The sequence below is a fragment of the Homo sapiens genome, chromosome 5, assembly GCF_000001405.40.
Source record: "Homo sapiens chromosome 5, GRCh38.p14 Primary Assembly".
Classification (NCBI taxonomy): Eukaryota; Metazoa; Chordata; class Mammalia; order Primates; family Hominidae; genus Homo; species Homo sapiens.
In genome coordinates this window covers 151,788,595-151,802,499 of record NC_000005.10, presented here as the reverse complement: position 1 = coordinate 151,802,499, position 13,905 = coordinate 151,788,595, and the positions used below count along the sequence as shown (strand labels likewise).

General features: G+C 39.5%; 1 protein-coding gene across 2 annotated transcripts in view; it reads right to left on the bottom strand.

Annotated features, from left to right (window-relative positions):
* The window catches only part of G3BP1 (G3BP stress granule assembly factor 1), a 40,832-nt gene that overhangs the window by 10,286 nt on the left and 16,641 nt on the right, over positions 1-13,905 (bottom strand). For both annotated transcript variants that reach the window (NM_005754.3, NM_198395.2), the window contains exons 3-11: positions 12,096-12,177; positions 11,438-11,611; positions 8,251-8,341; positions 6,925-7,021; positions 5,072-5,273; positions 3,187-3,288; positions 2,500-2,611; positions 2,154-2,282; positions 1,631-1,740 (exon numbers count right to left, since the gene is read on the bottom strand). In NM_005754.3, the coding sequence (NP_005745.1) occupies positions 1,631-1,740; positions 2,154-2,282; positions 2,500-2,611; positions 3,187-3,288; positions 5,072-5,273; positions 6,925-7,021; positions 8,251-8,341; positions 11,438-11,611; positions 12,096-12,177 (1,099 nt within the window). The remainder of the gene's footprint in view (positions 1-1,630; positions 1,741-2,153; positions 2,283-2,499; positions 2,612-3,186; positions 3,289-5,071; positions 5,274-6,924; positions 7,022-8,250; positions 8,342-11,437; positions 11,612-12,095; positions 12,178-13,905) is intronic.

Sequence of the window (13,905 nt, the reverse complement as noted above, 5' to 3'; positions counted from 1 at the left end):
AGGCCTCCAGGGAAAAATAAGCTTTGAAACGGTAAGCTACACTACAGTATGTCATACACCACGGCAATCAGTCTTACATAAGCTATTTCTGCTCACACAAAAAATTAGTGAAGGGAGCATAGTAGACTTCTATCAATACCATGAAATGAAGGGTGGCCACTAGGCCTAATACATGCTGAATGATGGATTTATCTACAAAGCCTACTGGACATTTCTGGGTTCTTCAGTGGCTTTGGTGAGATAAACCACTGTTCTCTCATTTCTCAAACAGTATTTTGCAGGAGATGCTTCACAAAAATAAATGGTCAAATAATTTGAAAGATAATGTATATTTGCATACTCAGGTTGACATGTTATAACCACAACATTAAACTATGCAGTAAGGCCAGGTGCATTGGCTCGCACCTATAATCCCAGCACTTTGGGAGGCCAAGGTCAGCGGATCACCTGAGGTCAGGAGTTCGAGATCAGCCTGGTTAACATGGGGAAGCCCCATGTCTACTAAAAATACAAAAAAATCAGCTGGGCATGGTGGCGGGTGCCTGTAATCCCAGCTACTCAGGAAGTTGAGGCAGGAGAACTGCTTGAACCCAGGATGTGGAGGTTGCAGTGAGCCAAGATCACACCATTGCACTCCAGCCTGGGTGGCAGAGAGAGACACTGTCTCAAAAAAAAAAAAATAAAAAAATAAAAAACTTTGCAGTATGCCCATTAACATTCTGGAGAATATCACTGATCTGCAGTATTTTTATTATATGGTTTAAAGTACACAATTTTAATTCATAGGGACAGAAAGCAGATTAGTGGCTGCCAGGGGTTGGGAGACAGGTACAAGGAATGACTGCTTAGTGAGTAAAGAGCTTATGGCTTTTAGTAAAAAACTTTTGGAATTAAAGGTAATGGTTGCACAATAATGTGTTCTAAATGCAATTAAGTTGTACATTTTTAAATGGTTAATTTTGTTATGTAAATTTCACCTCAATAAAAAAGTATAGCTTAGTAAATTAATATTATTTATACACTTGTTCTTCTCTACTACTACAAAAAGTAGTTTTTTGCTAGAGGAAGGGAAGCTTTCTTTGGGGATCCCACAGTAAGATTTCCATTCTACAAATTCTTCTATTATTAGAACGTACAGAGTAAGAGTACTGTTAGTAAGGATGGTTCCAAGTAGGTTGACTATATAATTTATCTTCCAAATCCAATTTATTAACTTAAAGAAGAAGCTCTTAATAGTTATTCTCTAAAAACAGCAGTATACCAAAACTGTCCTGGGCAAACTGGCTCTTATCTTAGTTAATAGTTAGAAGTAGGTTTGTATTTCATCTCCTGTATACCAAAAGCCACCACCAAGGAAAGGTAGTTACGTAAATCTCAGTGCACTGATAACTATTCATTTTCTCATTCTCATAATTCATGTTTTCAAAAACTAAGTTACTTAAACATAAGGTTTGTTTTCCTAAACCCCCAGGCAAGTCTTTTAATAATGGTTGAAAATAATGAATAAATTACCTGAACATGTTGGAATAAACTGCACTTTACATAAAGACCCAGCTGTAAAGATATATTCTAAAGAACCAAAACCCTTTTTAAAAAAAAAAAAAAAAAATCAAGACAAAAAGCTGCTTACCCTGTTGCTAAGGACTTTCTGAACAGGCTCAGAATCATCAAACACAACAAAACCAAAATTGGGTAATTTCCCACCACTGTTAATGCGCAACTCCACCACGTTTCCATAACCTGCAAGTGAAACACATTCTCAGATAACTACTTAGACCATTATCTTTAAACATTACATGTACACAGTCCAATACAGTAGCCACTAGATGCATGTGACTACTGAGCACTTGAATTATAAATATAGCTAGTCTGAATTGAGATGTGCCTCTCATAAGTGTAAAATTATGGGAGGCACATTTGGATTTCAAAGATTATGAAAAAGTGTAAAATATCTCTCACAATATTCTTACATGTTGAAATGACAATGCCTTAAGTTAAATGTTATTAAAATTATCCAGTTTCTTTTTACCTTTTTTTTTTTAACCATGACTACTAGAAAATTTATAATTACATATGTGGCTCATTTTCTATTGCTACTGGACAGTGCTAGAGAGACACTAGATGAATTTAGTGTTCAAAACTCAATAACCTACTTTGAAAGAAATCTTTAAGCTCTGATTTGTCCACTTCATGAGGCAGGTTGCCAATGAAGAGTTGGTGACTGTCAGGGTGTCTCACCATTCTTCGGGGTTCAATGTCACCTTGCTCACCAGCCTCACGGACTTAAAAGGAGACAAAAACATCAATGAAAGACAAGAGAAAGAAGACATCTTTCAATGACTGCTCACATTCAATAGTTTTCCCTCTACACTAAAAACAGGTAATTCCATCAACCCTACAATATTTTTATTTTAAAGTATATAAATATCAACTGCCCTCCCAAAATAAGCTCTCACCTCAAAATCCCCCAAACGAGAAATCGCCCTTCTGAGCTCTTACTTGGTCTGGGTCCCCTTTGGGGAGGAATATTTATTCGTTGTTCTCGCACTCTTTGATCCCGCTGAGGTCTTTGTGGTGGAATCTGAGATTCAGGCTTAGACTCTGGACGGGGCTGAAAAATTTTAAGTTAACTTTTGTGTTAAAACAAAGCAGGCTTATCCTTTTTCTTAATGAAGTTTCTTAGCTAACAAGTTTTAAACTACAAAATGGACAATTCCCTCACAAGAAAAATCATTAAAAACCATCTTATACCCTTCTCTTCCGTCCTATATGTCAGTTCTGTTTCTACATTGATTTGGGTTGGTTTTTTTTTTTTGAGCCAGAGTCTCAGTATGTCGCCCATGATGCAGTGCAGTGGCACAATCATGACTCACTGCAGCCTCAACCTCCGGGACTCAAGCAATCCTCCCACCTCAGCTTCCTAAGTAGCTAGGACTACAGATGCATGCCACAAGGCCCAGCTAATTTCTTATTTTTTGTAGAGACAGGGTCTCACTATGTTGCCCAGACTGGTTTCAAACTCCTAGGCTCCAGTGATCAGCTGGCTTCAGCCTCCTAAAGTGCTGGGATTACAGGCATGAGCCACACTGCACCTGACCAGTTTTCACATTCTCTAAACCTCTGTTGAATCAAATTACCACAATAGAAGTAAATTTGCCTAATGTACAAGTTTTATTAGGACCTTACCTGTGAAGCTGGTACTTTAACAACATGAGGTGGTATCCCAGTAACTGGAACAGCTCCACTGGGTGGAAGATTCTTACTGGTCACAGATGCCCAAGAAAATGTCTAAGGGAGCAATACCAACATTACATAATTATACCAGGTATCAAAACAATATAAAAGCTACTAACTCTTGATTTCCTGTACAGAACAAACGGTAACACATTCTCATAGGCAGGATGGAGTTTATATATATATATTAAGATTCTTCTCTTTCAGCTATTCAAAATTTAGTACTGAAATTCCTTGGGACTGATGATCAAGTACCAAGCAAATCCGAGAGGCTTAGGTTCAAGAAACTACTCACTTTTTTTTTTGAGACAGAATCTTGCTCTGTTGCCCAGGCTGGAATGCAGTGGCATGCACACAGCTCATTGCAGCCTACATCTCCTGTGCTCAAGTGATCCTCCCACCTGTTTCCCAAGCAGCTGAAACTACAGGCATGTGCCACCATGTCCAGCTATTTTTTCTTTTTAGTAGAGATGAAGTCTCACTATATTGACCAGGCTGGTCTTGAACTCCTAAACTCAAGCAATCCTCCTGGCCTCAGCCTCCCAAAGTGCTGGGATTAAATGCGTAAGCCACAACGCCTGGCCCAACAAAAGCTACTTTCATTCAAATCTGTGAATCAAACAAAATTCCCTCTCCTCCAAAATCAGCTCAGCTCTTCCTACTGTGATTCCATCCAATCCATTGTACAAACATCGACTCAATTACATCAATTGTAGAATCATCATAAACACCTTTCTCGCACATTTAAAAATCGCCAGAACCTGTTATTCTACCTAATTATTTCTTTTCCATTTCCACTGCCACAACTCTAATTCAAGCCATCATTCTCTCTCACTAGGGTTACTATAATAACCAACTAAGTGGTCAGCTGGTCCAGCCAACCTACTTTTCCACTTGCTTCTTATGGTTTTGTTCTTGTGACAAGGTCTTACTCTATTACCCAGGCTGGAATGCAGTGGCATAATCATAGCTCACTGCAGCCTTGACTTCCCAGGCTAAGCCATCCTCCTACCTCAGCCTCCCAAGCAGGTGGGACCACACATAGGCACCACCATGCCCAGCTAATTTTTTCCACTTGCAAGCTAAAGTCATTTCAACATTGCTCTTTCCTACTCACCTATTAGCTGCCAGAGAACAAGAACCCCTATCTGTTTTGCCAATATAAAACCTACACTTTGAACAATGCCTAACACACAGCAGGAATTTGAATTATTGAACAAACAAATGACATAACCCTGAGCCTATAAACACAGCACTAAAAATTATATTCCTTTCCAGAGCACCAAATGCAAAGGTTTCAACGATAGTTCAGTTAACAATCACCCTGACGAGACTCAGAAGGACAAACTGAAAACTTCTGAAATCAGGTATGCCAACTAGAAAAGAAGTTTTACTTCAGCAGTTCATTTCTACTTCCACTATAAAGTTATCTTCAATAAAATTTCATAGAAAAAGTATATTCTGCCATGTTATTTTTCTTGAAAAGATGTTATGCACTTGTAGTAACAAGTATGTAATAATTTATAGTGTAAAAGATTAAATATTAAATAGAAAAGGAATCACTGATAGGGTGCTACAGTGGCACCTAAAATTTCTGGTCTAACAGGCATTCAAGTTACCTCGGGGAAGGGAGTGGTTTCTTTTGATGAAATAAACTAATACACATCTTACCTCTCTCTTATCAAACATATGGCTCAATATCTAAGAAATTTCCCTGAAATGAACCACCAATATGAAAATGTATCTACAAGTCAACCAAACAGCAATACAAAAGAACAGAAACTTTTTTTAAAAAAAATAACTAGGAATAGAATAAAAATGAAGACACGTTTCATACCCTCAAGTCTTCCTGTACTGTCTGAGCTATGTCTGCAGGTGCTGGAGAAGAACTCTTCTGAGCATCCTCAGGGGCAGTTTCTTCTAATACTGGCTCAGGCTTTTCCTCTTGGATTTCAGATACAGGTTCTTGTTCTGGTTCTGGTTCAGGATCAGGCTCTGGTTCAGCAACAGGCTCCTCTAAATGTTCTTCCATGTCATTACTTTGACAGGAAAATTTGAGAAATATCATTCTGCCACCATTTATTTCACAAAAAATTCCTCCATCATTTATTAATCAGAAACCAGAACACAGAGTTAGCTCCTTCTATCCAAAACAAAAATCTAAGAATTGTATATCTATCTGAGTTTTTAAAAAGTAATTTTTAAAATGCCACTCAATAACTTAACTGGAATCCATTTGTTTGGCAAATTCTGATAAGCAAATGAATCAGGACATCAAAATGAACCAAACCACTTTATGGCTGGAATCCCACAACTATTACAATTCATTTAGCATACAACATCAGAAAAACTCTCAAAATAGGCTGGGGCGGGGGGGGCGGGAAAGAAAGTTGCCATTCAATGGGTATAGTCTGTTTATAAGGTATATAAAGTTATCTTCAATAAAAGTTGTAAGGTGAAAAGTCCTAGATATCTGTCATAGAACCACATCTATACAGTTAACACTACTGTACTTTACACTTAAAAATGGTTAAGATGAAAAAAAGGTTAAGATGGCAAATTTTATGATATGTGGCTTTTAACACAAACACACAAAAACTCTTTCAAGCACATAAGGAATTTGGGGGAGAAAATAGTTATGATTCAGAATACAATTCTTAAAATTCCACATAAATCAACCAGAAATGCTGTTAAAACTGCAGAGGGGGCTGGGCACACACCTGTAATCCCAGCACTTTGCGAGGCCAAGGTGGGCAGATCACCTGAGATTAGGAGTTCCAGACCAGCCTGGCCAATATGGCGAAACCCCATCTCTACAAAAACACAAAACTTAGCCGGGCATGGTGGCGTGCGCCTGTAGTCCCAGCTACTCAGGAGGCTGAGGCAGGGGGATTGCTTGAATCCAGGAAGCGGAGGTTGCAGTCAGCCAAGATCGCGCCACTGCACTCCAGCCTGGGTAACAGAGCAAGACTCTGTCTCAATAGAACAAAAACAAACAAAACTGCAGATGTTTTGCCTCCTGAAAGTCTAATTCGGTAGGTTTGCAGTGGGACCATGAATCTTCATTTTCAACCAGCAACCCAAGTGAGTAACCTGATTAGTTCATCACACCTTAAGAAACACTTGAAAACACCCTTCAGGCACTGAATATTAACATTCAGTATCACATGGTAACAAGTAAATATGGATTTCTATTGCTATCAAACACATTTCTGTTCTAATCACAAGGGGGAAAAAACCCAAAGGTATAATGATGCACTTACTAACGTAATGAAATTCTTTATTGCTACTTAACTCACATATTGGTATTTATATCAATTTATGCCCGATCTCTAATTAAATAGGTCTCTGTCCACTTCATATTCCCTCAAAGCATTTAATACCTCAATACATTCAACTCTTGATAAACAATATGCAAGTTTTCACTTAACACCAAGAAAAAACTAAACCAAAAAGAAACTGATACTATTTAAACTAAGCAATAGTAGATTGCCTTCATAGTACAATTTACTATTAACAAACAAGTTACATATTTTTGTTTAGTCAAAATTACCAGAAACAAAACCATTCTTCTGAGAAATTATTATTTTGAGGTAATTCTCAGAATATGTAAATGCCCTCCAACAAAGGGAAAGACTAGACAATGCAAGTTCTTATGCAGCCCCGGACATGTGAACAAAATCTTCTTACCTGACAACTGCCTGATCATAGAAAGTTCCAGAATCATCAGGTACCACCTCAGGTGTTTGCTGTCTTTCTTCAGGTTCCTCTACTTCTTCTTCAGACTCTAAGTGAGAAAAAGATATTTAAAGTAATTTGTACTTACTGAATTCACATATACATTAACTTTCGCAATGTTCACAAAACAACAGTGAAGAAAAACATATATAAATAAACAAAGTAGGACAATTTGGTAAAATCATGGCACTGACTTTAAGGACAGAACTAAGGCTTTGAAGAACAGACTTTTTTTTGTTTTTTGTTTTTTGAGACGGAGTCTCGCTCTCTCGCCCAGGCTAGAGAGTGCAGTGGCGCGATCTCGGCTCATTGAAAGCCCCACCTCCTGGGTTCACGCCATTCTCCTGCCTCAGTCTCCCGAATAGCTAGGACTAAGGCGCCTGCCACCACGCCTGGCTAATTTTTTGTATTTTTAGTAGAGATGGGGTTTCACCATGTTAGCCAGGATGGCCTCGATCTCCTGACCTCGTGATCTGCCCGCCTGGGCCTCCCAAAGTGCTGGAATTACAGGCGTGAGCCACCGCGCCCAGCCTTAAGGATAGACTTTAAGGCTACTGTAGTGTCTTGGTTTTTAAGAGCATGGAGCCTAATGCAGGCTCTGTCACCTTACTGGCTACGTGACATTAGCCAAATTATATTAGGCAGTTATCTAATGCAGGCTCTACCACTTTACTAGGCAAATGATTGCTTATCTGTAAAACTGTATTACAAAATAAATATACTCTCAGCCATATAAACAACACTCAATTCTACTATTTTGGAGAAAATTTTCCATAAGTCTCTGTGTCTACACATCTTCCATGCCTACCCTTTCTTCTAGACTGTCTTTCAAGAACATTTATATAGCAAACAGCTTTGAAAGAGTATCTCCCTCCAGCACAAAGAGTAGTCATGTTTACTGCCTGTTGTAATAGATCTGGGTTCCCTAAACTCAGTGTCCCATGCCTTTAACACAACCCACTGCAGTAGAAGTATCACCTAGCCTTCTCCATGACATCCTATTGGTAAATGTGGCAAAAATACTACTACTGTCGCTGTGAGTTAGCCTGTCTCCTTCTGACCTAAGAGTCTTATGTCTTCTACTAACATCCATGATATAAGCTAACCTGTTAGCAGCTTCAAGTAGGGTAAAACCTCAGACTCTTCATATACCATAATTAGTTATTAATGAAGAACAGAGTGTAATGAAAACAGTAAAGAAACCCATAGTCTCTTAAGGGCAATCGGATGCCATTAAAAAAAATTTAGACAAGTAATTTAAAGTATTTCACTACTTACCCTCCTGAGGCTCAGTGACAAACCCACCAAAGACCTCATCTTGGTATCTGAAGATATCATTGTGAACATAGAATTTATTTGCAACAGACCCCTGCAATGCCAACAGAAAGTTTTAATTTATTCAACAGACTTTTAGAAAGTCAAATCACTCTACACCATTGGTGACTGGGACAAGTCTGCCTCCATGAGACATCTGGCAATATCTGGAGACATTTCAGTTTTTGTTGTTGTGGGGTTCTGAGACAGGGTCTTGCTGTCAGCCAGGTGGGAATGCAGTGAGCCACCACAGCTCACTGCAGCCTTGACATTCCAGGCTCAAGCAATCCTCCTGCCTCAGCCTCCTAAGTAGCTAGAACTACAGGGGCGCGCCACCATGCAAGGCTAATTTCTCTTTTTTCTTTTTTTTTTTTTTTTTTTTGAGTAGAGACGGGATCTTGTTATATTGCCCGGATTGGTCTTTAATTCCTGGGCTCAAGTGGTCCTCCCGCCTCAGCATCCCAAAGTTCTGAATTATGGGTATGAGCCAGCATGCCCTGCTGACATTTCAGTATTCACTACATGGAATGCTACTGACAACTTATAAGGTTAGGGATGCTGCTAAATTCCTACAATGCACAGGACAGGCTCCCACAACAAAGAATTAGTTAATCCAAAATGTCAACAGTGCCAAGACTGAAAATGCCCACTCTACAATAGCCGGTAAAAAGACTACACTCACATACATTTTGTTTGCTCAGAACACTTTACCTCACCACAAGATAAATATCCAAAAACTGACAAAGCCCTAAGCATGTAAATGCCACAGCCCACACCTCAAAACATTATAAGGCAATCATATCCCGGATGGGCACAGTGGCTCATGCCTGCAATCCCAGCACTTTGGGAGGCCGAGGCAGGCAGATCACCTAAGGTCAGGAGTTCAAGACCAGCCTGGCCAATATGGTGAAACCCCATCTCTACTAAAAATACAAAAATGAGACAGGCATAATGGCCCACACCTGTAGTCCCAGCTGCTAGGGAGGCTGAGGCGGGAGGATTGCTTGAACCCGGGAGGTGGAGGGTGCAGTAAGCCCAGACTGCACCTCTGCACTCCAGCCTGGGCGACAGAGTAAGACCTTGTCTCAAAAAAAAAGGCAATCATATTCCTAACTTCAGCAGATATTTAAAATTCCCCAAGTCTGTCTCCAAAAATATTGATATAAACACTCAAGGGTAGTGCAGCCTGAAAAAGATTGCTCGCAGTAGGTATAAGACACACCTGAGTGCAGATCCAATTATATATTATGAGTTATTCAGTTTCTAAGGCTGTTACTCCTCTGTAAAAAGAAAGGTACCAGCTAGGCACAGTGGCTCACTCCTGAAATCCCAACACTTTGGAGAGCTGAGGTAGGAGAACTGCTTAAGCCCAGGAGTTTGAGACTAGCCTGGGCAACAGTGAGTTTTTTGTAGAGTGAGTCTCCACAAAAGCAGAAACAAAAATCAGCCAGGAATGGTGGCCTGCACTTGTGGTCCCAGCTACTTAGGAGGCTCAGGTGGGATTATCATTTCAGCCCAGGCAGTCAAGGCTGCAGTAAGTCATGATCCTACCACTGCACTCCAGCCTGGGTAACACAGGGAGACTCTTCTCTCAAAAAACAAAAAAGAAAGATATCAACATATACCTCAATACTCTCTGTATTAAATGAGACAGTTTATATAATAGTGTATTATACTAAGAAGTTAGATACTTCCTTTAAAAGAAAAAAACTGTAATTAAACCTGTAATTCACAATCATACTCCATGTGATTCTTTGCATATTTAGAAGTCTACCACATCTTTACATTTTAATCTAAGCCTTCCTCTAAAAATTATGACTATAATTGGCTTCATGTAATTTTGCACAGACAAAAAGTTATCTCATATTCAAAGGTTAAAAGATTTTAGGCGTTTCAGGTTTGCTATCCTAAAAAGAAAACTTAAGATTAATGCTAGAGAAAACAATGATTTAATCAACAATTTCTTACTATGCCATTTCTATATACATGCTTAAGCAGACAGGATTCCTAACCTTGTTCAGTCTAGACCAATCCGGAAGAAAACACAAATGCAATCATTCAACATAAACTTGTCGTCCTTTCATAAGTATAACTAAAAAGAACCAGGCCTCCTTGAAGGAACAGCTGATTCAAGAATAGGGACTGGGCCAGGAACAGTGCAAGATGAACCTGGAAAATATTTTGCCATAAGTGTTCAAGAAAGATAAAAAGATAGAGAATCTCCCATCCTTCATTTACAAATCAAAAAGAGAAAAAATAAGGCTGGGCATGGTGGCTCACACCTGTAATCCCACTTTCGGAGGCTGAGGCAGGCAGATCACTTGAGGTCAGGAGTTAGAGACCAGCCTGACGAATATGGTGAAACCCCATCACTACTAAAAATACTAAAATCAGCCGAGTACGGTAGCACACGCCTATAGTCCCAGCTACTCGGGAGGCTGAGTCAGGAGGACAGCCTGAAACCAGGAGGCGGAGGTTGCAGTGGGCAGAGATGGAGCCACTGCACTCCAGCCTGGACGATACAGTGAGACTCCGTCTCAAAAAAAAAGAGAGAGAGAGAAAAGATATTTAACTTTACAGTGGCAAAACCTAACTAATCAAAATTCATATCACAACTAAATGACATAATATGCCTAATGTGAAGCACTGAATGACACCCATAAAGCATCCTACAAAAAAAGTGTGCTCTTCAAAAATGTCAATGCAATAAAAAAAAACAAAAGATTAAGGAACAAGTGCAGATTAGAAGAGACTAGAGACATGATAGCTAAATGCAATGTGTAATTATAGATTCCATGTTGGACAAGGAAAAAAAATTACTGTTAAGACATTATTGAGATAATTTCCAAATTTTAAAAATGGATTATAGATTATATTGCATCAACATTTCCTGAATTTGATAACTGTACTACAGAATGGAAGAGAATTATTCTTAGGAAATGCCCACTAAACTATTTTAGAGAAAGAATTATACACATGTGGGCAAGTGGTGACAGCTGCTCTAGGTAAGGAGTATATAGGAGTTAGTGTACTATTATTCCAAGTTTTCTGTAAGTCTGAAATTTCAAGTGTTTTTAAAGATATGCACAACAGTTCATTGTTTCTTTTTTCATGTATTGGATCACTACAAAATAATCATTCCTACACATACCTCAGGAGCAAGGACAAACGTTTGCATGAATCTCCTCAAAGCCTGGTTGTTGTTAGAGAGAAGCCCCATCACCTGGACTACCACACCATCATTTAGCGTGGCATGAGCATCAACATGGCGAATCTTGGTGTGGCAGTTGGTGAAGTTTTGTGACATCACTTTCCTGTGGATTTCCTTAAAAAAATAATAATAATAATAATAATCAACTGAGAATGCCTTAAAATTTAAATAACCTCCAACTAAAAAAAACCTTCCAACACAACACAAAGAGAATGTGTATATTTAAATTACAGGATATGCAGACTGAATTTTGATGTTTCTTTGTATACTCTATTCCCAGTGACCGCGCTTGAGTTTTTTAAATAACTGTCCTGAATTAACACACTTTTCAAAGTTTAGAAAAGATGATCCCCATGCTAAAGCCAATTATCTTCCAACACACAAAAGCTTTAGAATATATCATACAAAATTAACAAATCTGACATCACATAAGTATTTCAACAAATATATTAATCAAATAGTAATAAAACACATCAACTTTTACTAAAAAGTTGAGAAACTGGATCTTTATCAGCAAATCTATTAAGTATGATCCACTTCAATTTTATGAGTTATTTTCTACCTGCTTAACAGCCTAAATAAGGCTTGAAATGCTTACTTTCTGTCCGTAGACTGCATCTGCTGGCTTTCCATTTGAATCCAATCCCCCATGGACATAAGAAGAGTTCTTTCCATAAAATCTGTAAAATGGGAAGATGATTTACTTGTCATCTTCAAGTATCTTAAGTTTATTTTTCACGTCTGATACTGGCAAACTTTTTTTTTTTTTTTTGCAACGGGGTCTCATTCTGTCACCCAGGCTGGAGTGCAGTGATGCAATCATAGCTCATTGCAGCTTCGATGTGCCGGGGCTATGATCTTTGATGTGCACATTTTTTTTTTTTTTTTTTTTGCTCTTGCTGACCAGGCTGGAGTGCAATGGCACCTCAGCTTCCCAAAGTAGCTGGAACTACAGTCACATGCCACCATGCCTGGCTGATTATTTTTATTTAAGTAGAGATAAGGTCAACTATGTTGCCCAGGCTGGTCTCGAACTCAAACTCAAGCAATTCTACCTGCCTTGGCCTCCCAAAGTGCTGGAATTGTAGGTGTGAGTCACCGCGCCTGGCCCTGGCAGAAACGTTTTCTTTTTCATCTTTGTATGCAATCATCTCTGTATCCCCTACATGCCACTTGATCAACATTTGCTGAATGGGAATGGATTTGGTTCCAGGTTTCAGTGTAGGATGATACTGTTGGGAAGGATCTTGTAGTTTCATGTCAAGATGGCCACCAATACATAAGTTCCTATTTTCACTCAGGAAGAAAATGTGCGGTAAGGCTGGAACAGCTATCTTCTTCATAGACTTCAAGTGTCCTTTTATTAATGTATCTGAGAATAAGCGTGAGCGGTTCCCCTTAAACACCTAGTTCATGCAAGTGGTTTTAGAAGTACTTTTTAACTATTTCTGCTGATGCAATTAAGAATGTCAAAGTCAATTCCTCATGGTTTTCACCCATCTATGTCCTCCTTTGATCCATTTTCATTAAAACAATATTCTACCAGGAAAGCAACACACCAAAATGCTCTAATCCAGGGATAACCACTATTAAGATTTGACATTTGTCTTCCAGATAAATACATTTTTTTTTTTAAGACAGAGTCTTGTGCTGTTGCTCAGGCTGGAGTGCCATGGCGCAATCTTAGCTCACTGCAACCTCCGCCTTTTTTTGTATTTTTAGTATAGAGAGAAGGCTTTGCCATATTGGCCAGGCTGGTCTTGAACTCCTGACCTCAAGTGATCCGCCCACCTCAGCCTCTCAAAGTGCTAGAATTACAGGCATAAGCCACCATGCCTGGCCTATGCTTTTTTCTTTTTGTTATGTTTTATGTCAGTTTTATTCTATGGGGTAGAAAGAAATTAACCAAATATAAAAATACAAAAAAAGGCTGGGCACGGTGGCTCACGCCTGTAATCCCAACACTTTGGGAGGCCAAGGTGGGCGGATCACCTGAAGTCGGAAGTTCGAGACCAGCCTGACCAACACAGGGAAACCGTCTCCACCAAAAACACAAAATTAGCCAGGCATGGTGGCGCATGCCTGTAATCCTAGCTACTCGGGAGACTAAGGCAGGAGAACCACTTGAACCTGGGAGACAGAGGTTGTGGTGAGCCGAGATAGCGCCACTGCACTCCAGCCTGGTCAACAAGAGCAAAACTCTGTCTCCAGAAAAAAAAAGAGCCAGGCATGGTGGTGGTGCGCACCCATAGTCCCAGCTACTCAGGAGGCTGAGGCAGGAGGATCACCGGAACCTGGGAGGCAGAGGCTGCAGTGAGCTCTCACCACTGCATTCCAGGCTCGGTGACAGAGCGAGACTCCACCTACTAAAAATAAATAAATAAATAATACACACACACACACACACA